This window comes from Homo sapiens, chromosome 2, assembly GCF_000001405.40.
Source record: "Homo sapiens chromosome 2, GRCh38.p14 Primary Assembly".
Lineage (NCBI taxonomy): Eukaryota > Metazoa > Chordata > Mammalia > Primates > Hominidae > Homo > Homo sapiens.
This window is the reverse complement of record NC_000002.12, coordinates 152,116,591-152,138,318: the sequence shown is the minus strand read 5'-3', so window position 1 is coordinate 152,138,318 and position 21,728 is coordinate 152,116,591. Positions and strand designations below refer to the sequence as shown.

Genomic DNA, 21,728 nt, shown 5'->3' with positions numbered 1-21,728 from the left:
TAACAAAGATATGTAAGGTCTTTATGGATTAAATTATAAAATTATTTGAAAGCTATAAAAGAATATAAATATATTTTTACATATTATGTTTTACATAAATGTAAATGGAGGATACCATGTTCATAGGGAAGAAACCTTAATATTGCAAAGATTTCTTTTTTCTTATATTATTGCATAATTTCAGTGCATTTCCAGTTCAAATCCCAACAGGACTTTTTCCCCAGAGAACTTGAAAAGTAATTTAATATTAATGTGGAAATTTGAAGGTGTGCAATAAATGAGAAAGAGTAACATAGAAAGGGTATTTTCCCTGGCAGATATTAAGGTACATTAACAAGATGTGTGAACAGATACATGGACTATTGCAACAGAATGGAGTCTAGAAATAGGCTCATGAATAGATTACTGTTTGAAAGGTAGGGTATTATAAATTACTAGAAAAAATGGTGGACTATTTAATAAATTTTGCTGTGATGAATGGCTCTTTTTATACTACAGATAAAATTTTGATCAGTTTCACATAGTACATTAAAATTTCATTCCAAATGAATTAAAGACCTAAACATGGGAGAGGGAAAAAAAAAATAAAAAAACTAAAACTACAGTTAAGTATATAGGAGAATAGATTTAGGAGTTTAAGGGTAGAAAAGGGTAAAAGCATAAGCCATGAAAGAAAAGATTGCCAAATTTGATTGCATAGGGGAAAAAACCACTGTACAGTTAAAGAAACCATAAACATATGCTGAAAAGACAGCGACAGCCTAGAAGAAGTTCTCTGCATAATTCAGACAAACAACTGCTGTCCAAAATGTGTAAAGAACTTCTACAGATCCATGAAAAAAGACAAATGATCCAGTAGAATAAGAAAAGTGGGCAAAAATACGAAAAAAAAGGCAGTTTACAGAAAAGGCAATCTGAATAGCTAGCAAGCACAAGTAGATGCTTGGGAAATGCAAGTGCATACAATGAAATACGATTTCTCTCCTGTCTGATTATCAAGTGTTAGTTGGGAAAATTATCACATATAAGGGAAGATGACATTGTTACATGCAACCGGGGGGAGGAGAAAGGTGAATTTTCACAGCCATTCTAGGGAACATTTGGCAATATCTAGTAAAATGAAATGCTTATGGCCGGGTGCGGTGGCTCACACCTGTAATCCCAGCACTTTGGGAGGCTGAGGCAGGCGGATCACTTAAGATAAAGTTTGAGACCAGCCTGGCCAACATGACAAAACCCCATCTCTACTAAAAATACAAAAATAGGTGTGGTGGTGCATACCTGTAGTCCCAGCTACTTGGGAGACCGTGACAGGAGAATTTCTTGAATCTGGGAGGGAGAGGTTGCAGTGAGCCAAGATCGTGCCACTGCACTCCAGCTTGGGTGACACAGCAAGACCTCGTCTCAAAAAAAAAAAAAAAAAAAAGAAAAATGTTTATATTCTTAAATCCCAGCAAGTTCACGTCTGTGAATAAGCGCAGAGAAATTGTTGCATGGGTGTCCTCAAGTCTAGGATGATCATTACCTTATCTTTGTAATGGTGAAAGACTGGAATCAACCTAAATGTCCATCTCTACAGGAATGGATAAATATGGCCTATTCGTGTGTTGGAATTTTAATTTAAAAGGAATAAGCAAAATTTGAAAGTATTAATATATAAAATTAAAAAGGTCTGTATGGATTAGCATCTGTGTCTGTTTCTATATGGACTTGGCTATAGATACGTGTAAAAGAACAAAAAACAGACTGACAAGAAGGCTACCAACTTTATTGTGGCAGTGTGGTAAGATGGATGTGGTGCTGGGATTTGGGGTCATTACTAAAGGGCACTTGTGTTTCCTGTTTACTTTTTAATTTTTTAATTTTATTATTTTTTTTTTGAGACAGAGTCTCTATCCTCCAGGCTGGAGTGCAGTGACGTGATTTCAGCTCACTGCAACCTCTGCCTTCTTGGTTCAAGCGATTCTCCTGCGTCAGCCTCCCAAGTTGCTGGGATTACAGGCACCTGCCACCACACCCGGCTAATTTTTGTATTTTTAATAGAGACAGGGTTTTGCCATGTTGGCCAGGCTAGTCTCGAACTCCTGACCTCAGGTGATCCACTCGCCTCGGCCTCCCAAAGTGCTGGGATTACAGGCATGACCTACTGCATCCGGCCTTACTTTTTTAAAGTCCAGAATAAAAAATGATTAATTGCTAATTGGTTCTAATTTTTTTTTTTTTTTTTTTTGAGACGAGTCTTGCTGTGTCACCCAGGCTGGAGTGCAGTGGTGCCATCTTGGCTCACTGCAACCTCCTCCTCCCGGGTTTAAGCGATTCTCCTGCCTCAGCCTCCCAAGTAGCTGGGACTACAGGTGTGTGCCACCATGCCTGGCTAATTTTTGTATTTTTAATAGAGATGAGGTTTCACCATGTTGGACAGGCTGATCTCAAACTCCTGACCTCTGGTGATCTGTCCACCTTGGCCTCCCAAAGTGTTGGGATTATAGGCGTGAGCCACTGCGCCTGGCTGGTTCTAAGTTTAGATATAGGGATGTGGATATTTGTTTTACTTGTACTTTTTAATATCGTTTATTAAATTTAAGAAAAATGACTCAATTATAGCTGCTTGTAAACGGATATATTCAAAGGAGGCTAAATTTAATTTTTAATTCATCTTTGCTTATTGTATTAAAATGTGGGGAACAAATGATATTTTTTGCACTGTATTTTTAGTGATGCCAATTGGTGGAAAGGAGAAAATCACAGAGGAATAGGACTTTTCCCATCCAATTTTGTAACAACTAATTTAAACATAGAGACTGAGGCAGGTAAGTTAAATCTTAGACGACATTAGATCTATTTAAGTTTTTTTCACTTAAATTTTATGTTTCAGTTTTGGATGTAAAGTAGATTGGCATTTAACTTTTGTTTTAAATCATTTCTTTATAGGCATGACAATCTAACCTACTTTTTAACCAAATTAAGGGGTTAATTTAGCCTGTGTCAATCCCAAGAATTATTTCCTCTTATTTTACATCCTCTGAGAGTTAGCATACATAGTTAAATGTCAGGCATAAAATCATTTGTGACCATGCAGGTATTTAAATCAACCTAACTATGTAGTGTAAGAGGCAGTTCATATCTATTCTGTACAAAGAGTGTTTTGATTCATCAGTGAACCACAGAGGCAAAGCGGGAGTGGTGTGGGGAGGTTGTGGTTGGCAAGTGCCGAATATGATTACTGGGGTTAGGAGTACTCCTAAATTTTAGACCTTTCCTCACCTTGATTTGATCCTAGGGAGCTTGAAACAATAACAACAAAGTAATGTAATCAAGCCACTAAGCTTCCTGTTTCAGATCTGCTGAACTTTAGTCAGTCTGCAGCCACAGACAGTTCCATTTTAGTCACTTTAGCCATTGTCAACCATGCTGAGAAAGCATTCCATTTGTTATTCAGGTAGGGAGGTGGGGGGATCTGAGTGTAAAGGAACAGCTCGTAATAGTACTAATGATGGTAATCAGAAATAGTTACTGGTTTTTGAGCATTCATTATTTGTCAGGCATTGTGCTAAGTCATCTGTACTATTGCATTTCAATCTCACGGTTCTGTGAGATAGCTACTTTTGTTGCCCTGTCTTACAGATAAGGACACTGAGGCTGAGGGATTATGTGTCTAGTAAGTGATTGAGCCAGGATTCTAAAGTCAGTCAGTTTGACCTTAACAATGACTCACTGAGGGATATATCAGTGCTAGTCCTTGCCAGTTCAGGAGAAAGAACTTCAAATGAAAGCATTATGCATGTGTAACATCGTCTTTGTATGTGTAGAGTGATACATTCAGAAAAATGAAGTCGTGAGAGGTTGATACTCACTGATTTGAATATAGAGTACTTTGCCATTATTTATAATTTTATTCCTTTTAACTGACTCTCTAAGTAGATAGGAATATTGGAGATACCTTTAAAAAATAACTTTATAGATCATGCTCAGGGGATTCTATATAGCAGTTTCTCCTTGACATAGGCTGGAGAGTATTAAGAGGAAAAAATATTGTGGATTTTCAGTTTATCCTTGTGTTATGCTGACTTCTGTTCTTTGAAAGTTAGCCAAATATTTGAAATAAATGACTAACAGTTGGGATTTAAAATTGTTTGGCTACATAGGTTTTTATTGTAGTTTTATTTTTACCAAAATTTACTTTGTTAAAATATGGTACATTCTAGCAATACTCCAGGGAACATTTAAATAGTTTTCTGGGTTTATGTATTTGTAAGTTTTTTTTCAACCTTCTCTTCATGAAAAACTTTTGTGTTTAGTGTTGTTTTAACTATTATCGAAGTTAGCTTAAAATAAGTTTTATTTTTTGTTCATATAGGAAATAGTTTTTTTAAATAGAAGGGAAGAGTGTAGAAGGAACTCGTAGATGTAACTATGAAATTAGCTAGTTAATAATCTGCTAGATAATAGTCTGCTGTCATATATTTATTCACCCCAGTGGTAACACTCAGTTTTCAGGAAAATGCCTAAAATGTCAGCTGCTGTTTATATTGTACACTTGTTCCACTAAAATTTTAAGTTCCAAGAGGTTAGGGATTCTTGTCTGTTTTATTCACCGGTGTCTGTATAAATGCCTAGAACAATGCCTGGCACATAATGAGTACTAAATAAATGTTTGTGAAATAAATGACCAAACGTATGTAATAAACGTATGTAATATTGATTATAAAATGTGGTGAATATTTGAAGGACTTTTATTTTTTTTTCTTATGGACAATCATAGGCCACTTATAAATTAATGACTAAAATTACTGAAGTAAATGCTGAGGAACTTAAAATTACTTTGTTTCTATAGCGGCTGTGGACAAATTGAATGTAATTGATGATGATGTGGAGGAAATTAAGAAATCAGAGCCTGAGCCTGTTTATATAGATGAGGTAGGGTCCCTCTTTTGTTTAATAGTTAAACTATCAAGACATTTAAATGTACTATCTTTGAGAATGCTTGGAAAGAGTAATTTCATATTTACTGAAGTTAAAACTCTTGAGTTTTTGAAAAGTGTCCTGTTACTTTTTTAGGATAAGATGGATAGAGCCCTGCAGGTACTTCAGAGTATAGATCCAACAGATTCAAAACCAGACTCCCAAGACCTTTTGGATTTAGAAGGTACTTAGTGAATATTTTATATTATTTTAATATTATTTAATATTTTAGCTATTCATGATGTCTTCAGTTTCTTCTGCCTTGTATTTGCCTCTAGAGGTTAGAAATCTCCGGTGGGGAACAGACTAGTACAGTAAAATAGTAAAAGTATTACTTGGAAGGCATTGTCATAAACCTGCAAATCCTTTTCATAAAGCAAGTATTTGTATTTCTTTAAGCCCACTAGTAAAATTGGCTGAAGATTTTTGCAGTCCAAAAAAGGACAGAATTAAAAATAACAGTACATCAAATTGAGTCAAAATGTTTAAAATGCTTATTGCTGTTTAATGTTCTTGTATTATGAATTTAAAGGACAAAATTATACATGATAATTGTTAACTTCATAACATAGTCAATTGATGCATGTTGATGTGTCTTTTAGTCTCTAAGAAATGTGAGAACAATTAAAACGTGTTTTTTATGCTTTAAAAAAAATCTTTTGGGATAAGAATCTCTGGTAAATAATTCTTCTTAAATCTTTATATAGAAGAAACATCTGGTTATGAATATAGAATACAGCGTTGTGCTCTTTATTGTGTCAGTGTTCACATTGGGAAATACACAGTATGTTTAATCTTGAAATGTCTTAAGTAAATGAAAAATCTTCATATCTGATGGGCAAAGGTTACATAGTTTATATACTGTGGCTTAAGTTTGTTTTAGTTAACTAATCATAGTTTTCTAGATGTCTTTAAGACTTTGGGATAACTCCAGATTTCACAGTCTGTCAACTTAGTTAATAGTTTCAAGAAAACATAATGAGGTTTTTATTTTAAAGTTGACCTTGCTTTTAGTCACATGATAGTAATATGTAGTAGTAGTGCTGAATAGTAGTCTTTCTCTAGCATGAGCTTAATCTGTGTGTATTATGCATAGTGTTGTATATTGGTGCTATATTGTTAAAAATTGTTGAAATTGGCTTAAACTGGATTAAGTTTCTATATTTGTAAGTATTTTTGTATTTACAGATATCTGCCAACAGATGGGTCCAATGATAGATGAAAAACTTGAAGAAATTGATAGGTGAGATTTTTCGTGCAGGAATAAAAAGTATAGTTTTGGGGGGTTCACTTGTGTTTTGGCAAACAGTAAAGTAGGGAAAGTTTTTGTGGAACTGTACAATTCATGGAAATTGTTTTTCAGTTTCCCAGGCTTTTAACAAATTTATAGCAAGGTGGTGCTTTTTATCTTGTTTTTGTTTTTCTAAAAAACAAGCTCTGACAAGTTTTATTAAATAAAAATTTTGCATGGCTTACTTTTAACCAGTCTGTTCTAGCATGCTTCTAGTGATATTAGAACTGCCTGGATCAGTGATAGCCAGTGTGCCTACTCTCTAGTATTTTCTGCATGCCGTGCCCATCATTGCCACTGTAGTGATGGACAGCAGTTTTGGCCAACATTGTATAGCACTCTATTTCAGATTTCCTCAAAGCTGGACAGTTTTAGTGAGGATGACCAATTTTGCTTTGCCTTTTCTGATCATCTTCAGAGTCTACTTTTACCCCAGCACATACTTTCCACTTTTCATAAGTTGGAGCCTAGAGTTAATCAACTCCACTGACTTTTTCCTCTTTGAGACCATCCTGCCTTAAGTCCAGGAGGGTCCCCAACTAAGAGCAGCTGCCAAGATGGCTGGGGAGCCTGGTGTTTTTTATTTAGGTAACAGTTTTCTGGGGTTTTTTTGGAGATTGACTTTTGCTCTGATGCCCAGGCTGGAGTGCAGTGGCATGATCTCGGCTCACTGCAACCTCTGCCTCCCCGGTTCAAGCAATTCTTCTGCCTCAGCCTCCTGAGTAGCTAGGATTACAGGCGTGCACCACCACACCTGGCTAATTTTTGTATTTTTGGTAGAAACAGGGTTTCACCATGTTGGCCAGGCTGGTCTCGAACTCCTGACCTTGTAATCTGCCCAACTTGGCCTCTCAAAGTGCTGGAATTACAGGCATGAACCACTGTGCCTGGCCAAGAATTGAATTCTTATGAGAAGTGGTACTTATAAAAATTTTAAATGAAATTTCTCTAGTGTTTGAAGCTAAATCACACCTTCTCTTTTCATTTCTTGTCCTTGTATTTGTTTCTATTGCTCTTTTAATTTTATCCTACATAGTTTTGTTTTTCTTTTTTTCTTTTTTTTTTTTTTTGAGATGGAGTCTTGCCCTGTCACCCAGGCTGGAGTGCAGTGGTGCGATCTCGGCTCACTGCAACCTCCACCTCCAGGGTTCAAGCCATTCTCTGGCTCATCCTCCCAAGTAGCTAGGATTACAGGTGCCTGCCACCATGCCCGGCTAATTTTTGTATTTTTAGTAGAAATGTGGTTTCACCATATTAGCCAGGCTGATCTCGAACTCCTGACCTCGTGATCCGCTCACCTCAGCCTCCCAAAGTGTTGGGATTACAGGTGTGAGCCACTGCACCCAGCCTTATGCCCAGCTTTTTTTTTTTTTAAAGACAGGGTCTTGCTGTGCTGCCCAGGCTGGTCTCAAACTCTTGGCCTCAAGTGATCTTCCTGCCTCAGCTTCCCAAAGTGCTGGGATTATAGGCATGAGCCACTGTGCCTGTCCCTTATTGTCCTTTAAAAATAGGAGCGGCCAGGCGCAGTGGCTCAAGCCTGTAATCCCAGCACTTTGGGAGGCCGAGGCGGGTGGATCATGAGGTCAGGAGATCGAGACCATCCTGGCTAACATGGTGAAACCCCGTCTCTACTAAAAATACAAAAAATTAGCCGGGCGTGGTGGTGGTGGCCTGTAGTCCCAGCTACTCGGGAGGCTGAGGCAGGAGAATGGCGTTAACCCAGGAGGCGGAGCTTGCAGTGAGCCGAGATCTCGCCACTGCACTCCAGCCTGGGCAAAAGAGCAAGACACGGTCTCAAAAAATAAATAAATAAATAAAAATAAAATAGGAGCAACACTGAAGGGGGTAGACTTTCAGGGTTTTGAGCTTTTAACTTGGTTCTGCTCCCTTATTTCTCAGCTCTCTATCTGAAGTCATAGGGAGAACCTGTAGTGAAAGGAAAACAAGGGATAGGGCTTAGTATTCCATCATCATCCCTTTCTAGTGGTATTTATTGAATTAATATATAAGCAGCACAAGAAGAAAAGATTAGATAGGACCAAAATAAGAAGGAGAATATAAACTACTTCTTTTCTGCCTCTGCCAGAGAAGTGCAGTAGCAGCAGGACTTTTCCTAGTCACCAGAGATTGTCGTCTTTGTTCCAGGGGACATTTTAAAAATAAATTTGTTGTGTTTTCTAAAGAAATGAAAAATCTGTGTGGCAATTAACAGTAGTTTTGCCATATTTTAGAGAAAGCATTAAATATCTCGTTACACATCTACTTTGTTTCAATGCAGCATGTTAATGTTCAGTGAATAATCAAACTGGAAAAGATTAAAAAGTATTATGATAGATGTGGCTGTATGTTTAGTTCAGACACAATTTTTTTTAATTTTTTGTATTTTCAATTTGAAGTTGGTTGAGTGCACGGATGCAGAACCCATGGACATGGAGGGCTGAGTGTATGTCCACACATTCTACAATGGAAATCATTGTCCTTGATAATTATCCCTTGATATGAGCAGATATTATATAATGAAAAAAGGCAGAAACTATGACAATTTAATCTTATTTTTGGTTCATAAAAAGAATTTTGTTAAAGGAAAAGATCTAGAAGAATTAGAAGTCAGATTGAGGCCAGTGTGGGGGCTCACACCTATAATCCCAGCATTTCAGGAGGCTGAAGTGGGAGAATCATCTGAGCCCAGGAATTTGAGACCAACTTGGGTAATACAGTGAGACCCCATCTCTACAAAAAAATTTTTTAATGATTAGCTGGGCTTGGTGGTGTGCGCCTGTAGTCCCAGCTCCTCAAGAAGCTGAGGTGGGAAGATCACTTGAGCCTGGGAGGTCAAGGAGGCTGCAGTGAGCCACGGTTGCACCACTGTACTCCAGTCTGGGTGACACAGTGAGATCTGCTCTCAAAAGAAAAAAAAATCAAAGTGACCATTCTGATATTAGTTAATTTTTTGAGTGAGAACTCAACCATTAACCATTTTTCTTACCAGTTTCAGTTTTTGAATAGGCCAACTGGCATTTTTTCTTGTTCTATGGCCACAGCTGCAGATGCAGCTCCTGTTCTGGGAAATGTTTCCTGTTCTTCAACAAATTCTTATTGACTATTATTTACCCTTGTCAAGTATTCAAAGATGAATAAAATATCCTTTTTTCCCTTGAATGGATCATGTTTGTTATTCCTACTAAGAAAAACATCTCTACTGTTAGAAAGTTAAATTGTACATTTCATTTTTGTCATTGTACAGAATGAAATTTTGTAGCATTTTATCAGCCTAAGAAATTATATTGAGTAAACATGTAAATTGACTCCATAAAAGTTTAGGTAGATTTGTTGAAGAGAGATTCATAGTCTGGACTTAACTATGTTCCAGACTATTCTAATCTTATTTCCTCCTGTCCTCCAAAGGTAATTTTCTACCACCTGATCAAGTTGCTCTTTTGCCTTATTACTCTGGGATTGTGTCTCAAATCTTTAAGGGGATTTCAAACACAGTGATCATGTCTTTCTACTGCATTTTCCTGGTGTTTCATCAGCATGCTGGGTTTTGTGGATCAAATTCCTACGGTTACATTTTAGTTATGCATTTGTTAGCATGGCACTAATTTCTGTAGCTTTCTGGGTGACTTGTAACTGATTTTTTTTTTTTTTAATTTGAGACAGAGTCTCGCTCTGTTGCCCAGGCTGGAGTGCAGTGGTGCAATCTCGGCTCACTGTAACCTCCGCCTCCTGGGTTCACACCATTCTCTTCCCTCAGCCTCAGCCTCCCGTGTAGCTGGGACTACAGGTGCCCGCCACCACACCTGGCTAATGTTTTGTATTTTTAGTAGAGACGGGGTTTCACCGTGTTAGCCAGGATGGTCTCGATCTCCTGACCTCGTGATCTGCCTGCCTCGGCCTCCCAAAGTGCTGGGATTACAGGCATAAGCCACCGCGCCCGGCCTGATATTTTTGATAATAGAGTTTGACCTGCTTAATGCAGTCATTCTTACCAGAGAGAGAAGACTTTTCGTTGTTGTAGTTCAGACATAACAGACTCTAGTAGAGGAAAAGTGACAAATCTTGATAGGACTCAGTCCAGGCTATTTACTTGGTAGTCCTGTGTCTGTCTGTGTGCCTCTGCTTGTTGCCTCTCTGTGTTTATGTAGAAAGAACCACATTCAGTAAAAAGGCTTGTGGATGTTTCAGGCCAGATGAAAAGTGGTTGCTTAGCTTTTGTAAATTTGACAGTGCAAAGAGAGTTCTTTATTACTCCCAGGGGAACTATCAAGTAGAAAGAGTTTGCTCTGAAGCTTCTTGGGCAAATTTGAAGATGCTTTTATTTGGGTTTGTTGTTATTACATAATAAAGCATTGGTTTACTTTCTCAAAATCAACCAACCAACAAATGAGCTGTAGAGATTAGTCTTACTTACACATTGTTTTTACTTGGATTTTCAAGGATAATTATTTAAGTAGGTTTTTTTTTTTTCAGTTGACACTTTCATGGATATAAACAAATGAAAATGTGTGTGTGTGGTTTTTTTTTAACAAGTGTTTTTAAATTTCCATCATATTGTACTTCATAGAGGTTCTGAGCCTTGCCTGGGTACTTTCTTTTATTGAGATTTTTAATTAAGGCCCAGATTCTTACCCAAATTGAGAATTTTCTTTTTAATAATTGAATTCTCAACAAAAAACCTAGAATGTGTGAAAGTAAATTCTCTCAGCACCGAAATTATGAATTGATTGCATTTTATGAGGTGTGGAAGGACTTTTCCCTAATATTATAAAGTCATATTGTCACCAGTAGAGGATTGTGACTGCAAGTTGTCCATGTTCTTAGCATTTTGAACAAAGAATTGGACAAAATGCCCAGCAAAGCAAAGAAAGATGGAAGCAACAAAAGAACAAAAGCAGGGTTTTATTGAAAATGAAAGTACACCCCACAGTGTGGGAGTGGGCCTGAGCAGCAGCTCAAGGGCCAGGATACAGAATCTTCTTGGGTCCAAGTACCCCCTAGAAGTTTCCCATTGGCCTTTTCGTGCTCACCTCATGTAAATGAAGTGGAAGCTCACAATCAGTCTGATTGGTTGCAGAAAGCAGCCAACCAGAGGCTGAAATGAAGTTACAAAGGTAACACTGCTGTGCAAACATCTGATTGGTTGCAAAAAGCAACCAATCAGAGGCTAGGGTGAAGTTACAAAGTTATATTTCTTTGCAAATGAAGACTCCGCCCACAGTCAGTCTGATTGGTTGTGGACAGCAACCATTCAGAGGCTGAAGTTACAAAGTTGCAAATGGAGACTGGACCTGTAATCAGTCTGATTTTTTTCGGACACCCAATTTCCCATCTGCTGCACAGAAAACGTGGGGGGTTTGCAAAGGAAGTAGCCTCTGGTCCTTTTGTTACTTAGGTGTGGAAAGTTAGGGTTGGTTTTCCTTTCAATTTAGTTATAAGAAGTCAGCTTGAAAATCAGCCTTAGATTCCCTGCCTCCAGACCCTATTCTCCTGCCTCAATATCAGCCTAGCTATTACAAGGATTAAGCAGTTCTTCCTCTTAGTTTCCCTTTGTGAATATTCTTTCATTAAATATAAAAAAGCCTTTTAATATATTAATAGAAATTGTGCTAAATTAAAAAAATAATTTATATTACTAAATACATGCTAAAAACTAGAAGAGTATTATAATACTTTTCTTCTACATCAGGAAGCATTCAGAATTGTCTGAATTGAATGTTAAAGTCCTGGAAGCTCTGGAACTATATAACAAATTGGTGAATGAAGCACCAGTGTACTCAGTCTATTCAAAGCTCCACCCTCCAGCACATTACCCACCTGCATCATCTGGGGTTCCAATGCAGGTGAGCATGTTTTTTGAGAACATTTTCTAAATTATAAACAACTTTTAAAAGTAAAAGAAAATGTTTTATAGCATAGTATTAAGATTTCTTTTGTCTGTGAATAAAATTATAAAATTTATCTTTGATTGTTTCAGTAAATATTGGCTAAACAATTAACATTCACCAGAGCAAATTAGACAGATACTGATATTTCACAAATACATTTTAGTTCAGTTTTAACATGGATGAAAAGACCATTAAATATGTGAGGGTAGTTCTGGTTCTTCATATGCTTTTGTAAGTATAAAGCATAAATCTTTTATGTAAACATAAATCCTTTTTGTAAATATGGAGTATAAATCTTTTGATTTAGGACAATACCTGACATATCAGAAGTTCCCCAGGTGAGGTACTAACGCTTTCCTGCTGCTCAACAAGATTTAACATTTCTTTACAAATTTCCATAAAGATTTATTTGACTTACATGATTATTAACAGGCACAATGAACTTCTAGAGTATGCTTTATACTTCCTTTACTTAGCTGCATGACTTACATTGTTAAAAATCTGTGCATAGCAAAGATATGATACATGTCTAGGAGGTACAGACTCCGTAAGCCATCCATGAACATCCATAAGCCATCTTTTTCCAGTACTTTTCACCTTTTTTGTGTGCTTGCCATGTGAAGCGAATACTTACATTTGTCAGTATCCCCATTCGGAAGCGTTTTTTGAAATTTCAGCCAATTAGCCAATTGAATTCAGAATGAGCTTGGATGAGCAAAATTCATGTTAATTTATGAAAACTGGTATGTAAAGGTGCATGTGAAGGAGACACCAAGGAGAAAGGGTAGAATGTGGGTGCATAATTTAGATGACTTGACACAACATAATTGTTAAGTAAAAAAAGAATAGTCACTATGGTAACTGTCACGTCAGACAAGATACATTTATCAAATATGCCATGCCTTGATCTTTTTGAAAATTAGGAGGGTAGGAAAGATTTTTCTGGCTGCAAAAGACCTTTGGGATTTATTCAGTTTGCTTCTGTTTTCAGAGTTGTTCGCTGCTGCTGTGAAAGTGGAACAAAACAGCAGTGTCTGCATCATTGTATGATAAAACTTTATGTTTGCTTTTTTGTGTGTCTGTAAAGGGTTATTTGCCATTCTGTGTCAGGTTTTGGTGTTTAGTTGCATTCTACTTACTGCGTTTTGCCAAGCACAACTCATGTCTCTAAAAAGTTAACTTTCTGTTTGATTCCTCACGTAATCTGTACCTACACTGTTCACTCAAGAGCATTTGAAATATTCAAAAGTTTCTATTCTAATTTGACAAAAATATATCTCTACTAGAAGCAGTTGGGGTAACACATTAGTTATATTGTGTAGGCTACTCAGGAACCCTAAACTGCAGAAGACGCTGATTCTCACAGTCTCAGCCTATTGTCAGTAGATTGTTACATGTCTACTAAGGAGGTAATGTGATTGTACTTAATATAGCTTATTTGGCATTTCTAGCATTCTAAATTTTCAGATGAATGGTATTTACTTTAAAAATAGCTTAATTTAAAACTGGATTGATGATCATTATGGTATGATATGATATTAAATGTATGCATTGTTTTGATGCTATATTTAGTAGACAGGTGGTAGACCCTGTCCTTAAGGAGCTGTTGTCCTGAAAATAAGTAGGGCACATATAAATGTCCAAAGAGACCTAAACCATTTTTGCTGTTTCCTGAGGATACATGTCTTTTGCCCATAACTCTTCTTTACTTTTGTCCTGTTTGTCTTAAAGGTAGAGAATAAGGTAGACATTGCCAGGGAAGCCCTGGCACCCTTATACCATTTCTTTTTCAGCTTTTTCTCTCAAGTTTCTTTCTTAGGAAGGAGTTGGATGAGTCATCCAGGGATGAGGGTAAAGAAGGTTATCATTCTTATAGTGACTTTAAGTGATGGTGGGCTTCCCTTCAAGGGAGTGTATAGTTTTCTGTGGCTCTACAGCAAGACATCTTTACTGAGTAATAGGCAACCTGGATAGATTGCAATCCACTACTTAAAAGTACACCACCTGTCTTTCTCCCAGCTCTCTGTAAAAATAAAAGAACAGCCAAACAAATCAAATTTCCATAGATTTGGCACTGTGATTTGACAGCTCTCCACTTTTAGTTCTAAGATGGATAGATTGGTAGAATCAGATTGCTTCCCAAAGAAGTATAGTTTCTTTCCTTTAAGTCTTTTAACATTTTAAATATATTATTAGGCACATGTTTGGGAGATGAGTGAATCAACTTTTTCTTTCTGATTAATAGACATATCCAGTTCAATCACATGGTGGAAACTATATGGGTCAGAGCATTCACCAAGTAACTGTTGCCCAAAGCTATAGCCTAGGACCCGATCAAATTGGTCCACTGAGATCTCTGCCTCCAAATGTGAATTCCTCAGTGACAGCACAGCCTGCTCAAACTTCATATTTAAGGTAAGTTTTGGGAGCTGTGTTAATTTTATATGTGTTAATTTTCCTAGATTTTCAGAATGAGAATATATAGACCCTTATTAAGATGAAGTTACAGAACTGTTTATTCATAATCCTGTGAAGTGGAATGGTGTTACCTTAGCTTTGCTACCCATACTGAGATTATTGCCCGCCCTTAAGCTTACAGTCTGCATCCTTGGGGCAAAAGCTAATTGTCCTTTATGAGACTAAGCCCATGATGTGCTTAGCACTGTGCTATAATCAGCCTGTGAAGTAGTCCCAGACTTATTTATCTGCATGCACTCCTAAAAATTAGAAAACTGTTGTTACTTTGACCCTTAAGAAGGGCGTTTGAACTGTGGAATTTGTAGTTCAGGTTTTTTTGTTTTGTTTTTTTGAGACAGAGTCTCCCTCTGTCACCCAGGCTGGAGTGCAGTGGCTAGATCTCTGCTTACTGCAACCTCCGTCTTCCAGGTTCAAGCGATTCTCCTGCCTCAGCCCCCTGAGTAGCTGGGATTACAGGCACGCGCCACCATGCCCAGCTAATTTTTTTGTATTTTTAGTAGAGACGGGGTTTCAGCATATTGGTCAGGCTGGTCTCGAACTCCTGACCTCGTGATGTTCCACCCGCCTCAGCCTCCCAAAGTGCTGGGATTATAGGTGTGAGCCACCACGCCTGGCCAAGTTTTTTTTTTTTTAAGACAAGGTCTCACTCAGTCGCCCAGGATAGAGTGCAGTGGCATGATCTCAGCTCACTACAGTCTTGACCTCCCGGTCTCAAGCTATCCACCCACCCTCATCAGCCTCTCCAGTAGCTGGGACTACAGGCAAGCACCACCATGTTCTGCTAATTTTTGTATTTTTTTGTCAAGGTGGGGTTTCGCCATGTTGCCCAGGCTGGTCTCAAACTCCTGAGCTCAAGGGATCTGCCTGCTGTGGCTGCTCAAAGTGCTAGGATTACAGGCATGCACCACTGCACCCAGCCCTATAGTTCTTTTTTTAAATAAAAACACTTTTACTCTAAGAGTTGTATTTAAATCTTTCTTTCTATTCATTTTGCTTAACCATACAAAATGTTCATTCAATATAATCATATGTAGATGATCTATAAGGTCTCTTCTCACCCTCAAACTCCATGAGTATGAATTTTAGATATTATATGAATATTAAATAAATCTGTTTATATTAGTGTTCAGTTAGAATAAAATATAAAATTTTGCTATGTTTGGTAACACTAGGAACTGTGGAGAAAAAACTGGTGTAGTTTTGAAACTAATTCTCTTTTATTGCAAGCAGTATATTTGGTGGAATTTAAAATTACATAATTTTTTTTATTGAAACTTTTTTTATAGATGGGGTTTTATCACCCAGGCTGAAGTACAGTAGTGTGATCATAGTTCACTGCAGCCTCCAACTCCCGGGCTTAAGGGATCTTCCAACCTCTGACTCCTGAGTAGCTGAGACCACAGGCGCATACTACACCCAGCTAATGTTATTAATTTTTTGTAGAGATGGGTATTGCCATGTTGCCTGGGCTGGTCTCAAAGCAGGCTGACCTCAAGCAATCCTCTCACCTTGGCCTCCCAAAATGCTGGGATTAAAGCCATAAGCCTCCAAGCTCAGCCCTAAAACCGCTGGGCATAGTATGTATATATATGTGTATACACACACACACACACACACACACACACATATATATATATATATATATTTTTTTTTTGGGGACGGAGTCTCACTCTGTCACCCAGGCTGGAGTGCAGCAGCATGATCTTGGGTCACTGCAAGCCCCACCTCCCGGGTTCATGCCATTCTCTTGCCTCAGCCTCCTGAGTAGCTGGGACTACAGGCGCGTGCCACCACACCCAGCTAATTTTGTTTTTGTATTTGTAGTAGAGACGGAGTTTCACTGTGTTAGCCAGGATGGTCTCGATCTCCTGACCTCGTGATCCGCCCTCCTCGGCCTCCCAAAGTGCTAGGATTACAGGTGTGAGCCACCGCTTCCAGCCAAAAGTATATATATTTTAAGAGAAATGTATGCCACAGTAGTTATAGGAACAAACAAGTCTTGCAATTTGGTGTGATTTTTCAGCTTAGTTTGTGAAGTGTCAATAAAGAAACTATAGTTTCGGACTATCCTGAGGGTTGATTTTGGGCCCTATACAGACTATGCTGTTTTCCTTTTAAAAGTAGAAAGTCCTTACTGAAGGAAAGCTTGAAGGATGTTTACAGAGAAGAGGTGGACTTCTTTGTGCTGGATTGGGAGATGGGGAAGGGAGAATATGGGCTGAAAGTGGCATCTTGAGCCAGGGCTCCATTCTCATTGCAAATGGCCAAGGGTACTTCTGTCAGGAACAGTTTGCATCTCCTCAGGTGGTTTCTGAATGTTTTTAGTTAGAGATTCTGGAGAAGGGAAGTTAAATTGGCCTTAGAATCTTACATTTTGTTTGTTTTCAAGTACCTCTCTCTTCTTACCAAATATAAAAATTACATTAACAAGCTCGGCATGGTGGCTCATGCCTGTAATCCCAACGCTTTGAGAGGCCAAGGCCAGAGGATCACTTGAGCCCAGTAGTTTGAGACCATCCTGGGCAACATAGCAAGACCCAGTCTCTACAACAAAAATTTTTTTTTAATTAGTTGGGACTAATTTAAATTTTTTTTAAATAGTCCCAGCTACTCAGGAGGCTTAAGGCAGGAGGATTGCTTGAGCCCAGGAGTTTGAGAATGCAGTGAGCTATGATCTGCACCCCAGCCTGGGCAACAGAGCAAGATCCCATCTCAAAAATAAGAAGAAGAAAATTTGATTAACAGTATTCAATGGCTGGAATGATTAAATTGTAATCAGAACAGCAGAGCTACGTAAGCTTAAAAAGAAGATGGAAAAGGCATTTTTGTCATGATGATTGATCTCTAACCTTATATATTGCAAAGTAAATATGGTTTTCTTTTTAAAATTTTGTTTGTAGCACTGGACAAGACACTGTTTCCAATCCTACTTATATGAACCAGAACTCTAACCTACAGTCAGCTACTGGTACAACTGCTTACACACAGCAAATGGGGATGTCTGTGGATATGTCATCTTATCAGAACACTACTTCCAATTTGCCTCAACTGGCAGGCTTTCCGGTGACAGTTCCAGCTCATCCAGTTGCACAGCAGCACACAAATTACCATCAGCAGCCTCTCCTTTAGAAACAAATCAAGCATTTTCTTGAAAGCCTTCATAAGTGTATTATTCAGTCCTTGTGATACCAACCTGAAAATATTAAAACTTTTTTCCCTCTCAACTCAAAAGGACCATGAATAAATAAAGCACAAAAACCTCTCTTATTCTACAAGGCCATAAAAGGTTTTTTTTTTTTTTTTTTTTCAGTCCAGTTTGTTTGAAGTCAATCTTTTCATCAGAGGCAGCTTAAAGATGCTTTCAGTTAGTTTTGTCTTACTTTCAGATTTCTCTACATAAATCTAGATACTCATTAAGTAGCCTTATGACAAACAGTATGAGATACTTATGACAAACTCGCTCTGTCACCCAGGCTGGAGTGCAGTAGCATGATCGACAGAGTGAGTTTGTCAAAAGTATCTCATACTTATAAACAGTATGAGATAGGAGGATTAAAATATTATTTTAAAGAAACCACTGTTTCCCCCTAAAATGTCATAAGAGCACTGAAGAACTTGAAATATTTTTTTCAGAGTTTCTCACACACTTTAAAAGTCTAACTTTTTTGTGTGTAAGCATTTAGCTTGCCAGCATATTTCTTTTTGGCTCCTTAAATTGCGGTTGTGTTTGCAGTATTGTCACTTTTGCTCTCACTGTTATGTTGAATAATAATTAGCATATAATTGTCTACAGAAGCAAGAGCAATCTGGAAGGAACAAAAATGTTTTCTGTGATTAACAGTGAAGACCTTGTAAATGCAGATGTGTGATAAAGCATTTAGTCAGTCCCCCAAACAGTCATGCCAACTGTGAAGGAATGTCCCACAAAACATTTCCATTCCCTGAGGAAAAACATTTTCTTTCCTACATGTATCTCTGGTATTTAGAATTGTCACTAATAACCTTTTCAAGTGATTTTGGCTATTCTCTAATGAAGATATGGTCCATTTGTTTTTCTTCCTGCAATGTGGTGTGCAGAGATGCTGCATATCCTTTTTATGGGATTGCGTGTGAATTTGAACCATGAGACATTCCTAATAATTTGTTGTGAGATATACCAAGCATGGATGATAAGTGTGTTTTTAGTGGTGTGTTGTTTTTTTAAAGAGGTGATTCAAGTACCGTTGCTAAGCTGTCAACATACCAAGCTGTTGAAAAAATTGACCATTTCTTTCAGAAGTAATTCTCAGCCTGTGGAATAATAGCAGGTGAAGACTTCATAGAAGGCGACAGATTGATAGGGAGGCTATTGAAGCAGTTTTTCTGAAGCCTGCATTTTGAGTTAGTTTATAGTGCTAATAGATTCTATATAACTGTGAGAGTTTGGTAGTAAACCAGTAGGGATTGTTTTCTCTCCTAAAAATTTGCACACTACTTCATTGTCTACCAACTTTTTACATATTGGAAAATAGAAATTGCAAATACATACATGTATGGAAACATATTCAGATTGGGAAAAACAATGGACATTAGTTTTTAAAAAGTTACGTGGAAGCAAGATTTCTATATTTGTTTTTTTAAAGGAAGCAGTCATTCTTTCTACTAAATCCATTTCAAGCTAGTTCTCTGAAAATTTTGCCATTTATCTACAGAAATTTGATTATAAATATGTTCCTTTTTCAAAGAAACTTTATTCTAGAACAAAATAGTCTATATGGTACTTGATCTACATTTAAGTGGAAAAATTAGCAGTATTTGAAAGCTCAGTTTATGTCATTGTCTTAACTTCAGATACAAATAACTGAACAGAAAGTTTTAACCTTTAATATCTCATGTTCTGTTTTTTATTCAGTATTTTCCTTTATGTTAATTCAATTATATACTTCTGAATGGCACCTTACTTTTTGGAAACAAATCTTCTGTTATTTACAAAATAATAATTTTTAAAAAACATTTAAAAAAAATCCAAAGCTGCTCTCGATAATAGTCAACATTTGCATATATATGGAATTTCTTACTTTTTTTCTCCCAAACTCTATTTAATAAACTTATTTTAATGTTTGTGTATTTCATGTATAATTGTGATCTCAATTATAAAAGTTTAATTCAGCATGTCTTTGAGCCAATATAATTACTGCACACCCACTAAATTGGGATCAGCCATTATAAATAATGTAGTTTTAGAATAATAAAACATGACACATATATATATATATAAATATATAGTATATATTGGCACATCGGTGAAAGTTTATATGTGCAGAAGTTTTTTTCTTTCTCAAGTTAAAAATTATTTTTTGCCATATGTAATTTTGTGTTGCAGGCTGTCGAGAGATAAAAATGATTTTAAATCTGTGTACTGATGATTCTTTCGGTGTTAAGAAACACAGGGTTGTGTACTTCCCTTTTTATGGGCTTATGGATTCTATTTATATTAAGACCTGTTTATAATTGTTTTCTGCCAAAGGGAATTGTCTAACTTCAGATTTCTACATTGGGTTCATACTTACTGTTTTATATCAGAAATAAAAAAATAGCTTCTGCTTTTTCATATGAAATCTTGGTACATCAGAAAGAATTCCTGAAAATTTATAATAGAATGAATTTTATTAATGCAGAAAAATACCCCAGGGTGTTAAAATATATGAAGTGTGGGATATATTCTTATAGTTTGTAAAATGTAGTCAACCAATACTGTCTTCTAATTTGGTAATTTATTTATAAAATTACTTAAACATTAGGTAATTATATTTGTTAGGATTTGAAATTATTTGTAGTTAAATTGTCATGCTGTTTGAAATAATTGATACTTGTCTACGTAATACATTTTACTGTATGTTTTGAAGATGGTTATAATTTCACTTTCAAAATTTAAAAAATCAATTTTAAATGTTTTAAAAACATATAGCTTAGGGATTTTTTTTAAAAAGGTTTTCTTAGTAAAAACATAAATTTAAAAGCCCCTGAGTTCTAGGAGAGGGCTTATTGAATTGCTATAAGAAAGCTGGAGTTACTTTGATAAGTAATAAATTATAAATAGCACTGATCTATAATGCTTTATTTCTATCGGAAGGTACTTTTTCTTCTTTCATCATCAGTTTTAGCCAGTTAGTAAATGGGAATACTCAGTTTTAGGGATTTGATTTTTGTTTGGTTTAATTTTCTTTCAAAAATTAAAAGTATATTTCTAAAAGTTTTCCCCAGAGGCCAGATACAGTGGCTCATGCCTATAATCCCAGCACTTTGGGAGCCTGAGATAGGAGTATTGCTTGAGGCTAGGAGTTTGAGACCAACCTGGCAACATGGCAAGACCCTATCTCTACAAAAATTTTAAAACTTAGCCAGGTGTGGTAGTGCACCTGTAGTCCCAGCTAGTCAGTAGGCTGAGGTGGGAGTATTGCTTGAGGCTGCAGTGAGGTGTGATCACGCCACTGCACTCCGGCCTGACAGAATGAGATCCTGTCTCAAAAAGAAAATTCCCCAGAAGAAGAATTCTAATTTTATCAAGCTGAATTAAAGTTTGAGAGTCTTTTTTTTAAAATCTTACTGTGTCAAAAGAGGCATTATGTTGCTTGTGTGATATAGTGAATAGTGTCCCTCCAAATTTCATGTACACCTGGAATGTCACAATGTGACTTAACAGTAGCCACCCCTCACCCCCGCCCTTATCTGTGGTGGATACATTTGCAAGATCCCCAGTGGATGCCTGAAACCGCAGATAGTACTGAACCTTATATATACTGTTTGTTTTCCTATGCATACATATCCCTATGATAAAGTTTATGAATTTGGCACTTAACAGCAGAACTAATAAGATGAAAGAGTTGTAACAATATACTCTAATAAAAGTTATTTAAAATGTATGTATTGTTATCTGTAATTTTGCATTTAATATTTTTGGACCATGGTTTAATCTGGGTAACTGAAAACACAGAAAGTGAAATCATGGGCCGGGCGTGGTGGCTCACGCCTGTAATCCCAGTACTTTGGGAGGCCGAGGCAGGTGGATCACCTGAGGTCAGGAGTCTGAGACCAGCCTGGCCAACATAGTGAAACCCTGTCTCTACTAAAAA

General features: G+C 37.0%; 1 protein-coding gene and 1 pseudogene across 1 annotated transcript in view; one reads left to right on the top strand and one right to left on the bottom strand.

Moving 5' to 3' along the window:
- The window catches only part of STAM2 (signal transducing adaptor molecule 2), a 58,963-nt gene extending 37,445 nt beyond the window's left edge, over positions 1-21,518 (top strand). The window contains exons 8-14 of the mRNA NM_005843.6: positions 2,716-2,810; positions 4,835-4,917; positions 5,059-5,146; positions 6,151-6,205; positions 11,940-12,093; positions 14,384-14,553; positions 17,517-21,518. Of these exons, the coding sequence (NP_005834.4) occupies positions 2,716-2,810; positions 4,835-4,917; positions 5,059-5,146; positions 6,151-6,205; positions 11,940-12,093; positions 14,384-14,553; positions 17,517-17,745 (874 nt within the window). The 3' untranslated portion in view covers positions 17,746-21,518. The remainder of the gene's footprint in view (positions 1-2,715; positions 2,811-4,834; positions 4,918-5,058; positions 5,147-6,150; positions 6,206-11,939; positions 12,094-14,383; positions 14,554-17,516) is intronic.
- Positions 6,430-6,821, bottom strand: RPL30P2 (ribosomal protein L30 pseudogene 2; annotated as a pseudogene).
- Positions 21,519-21,728: the final 210 nt, after the last annotated feature.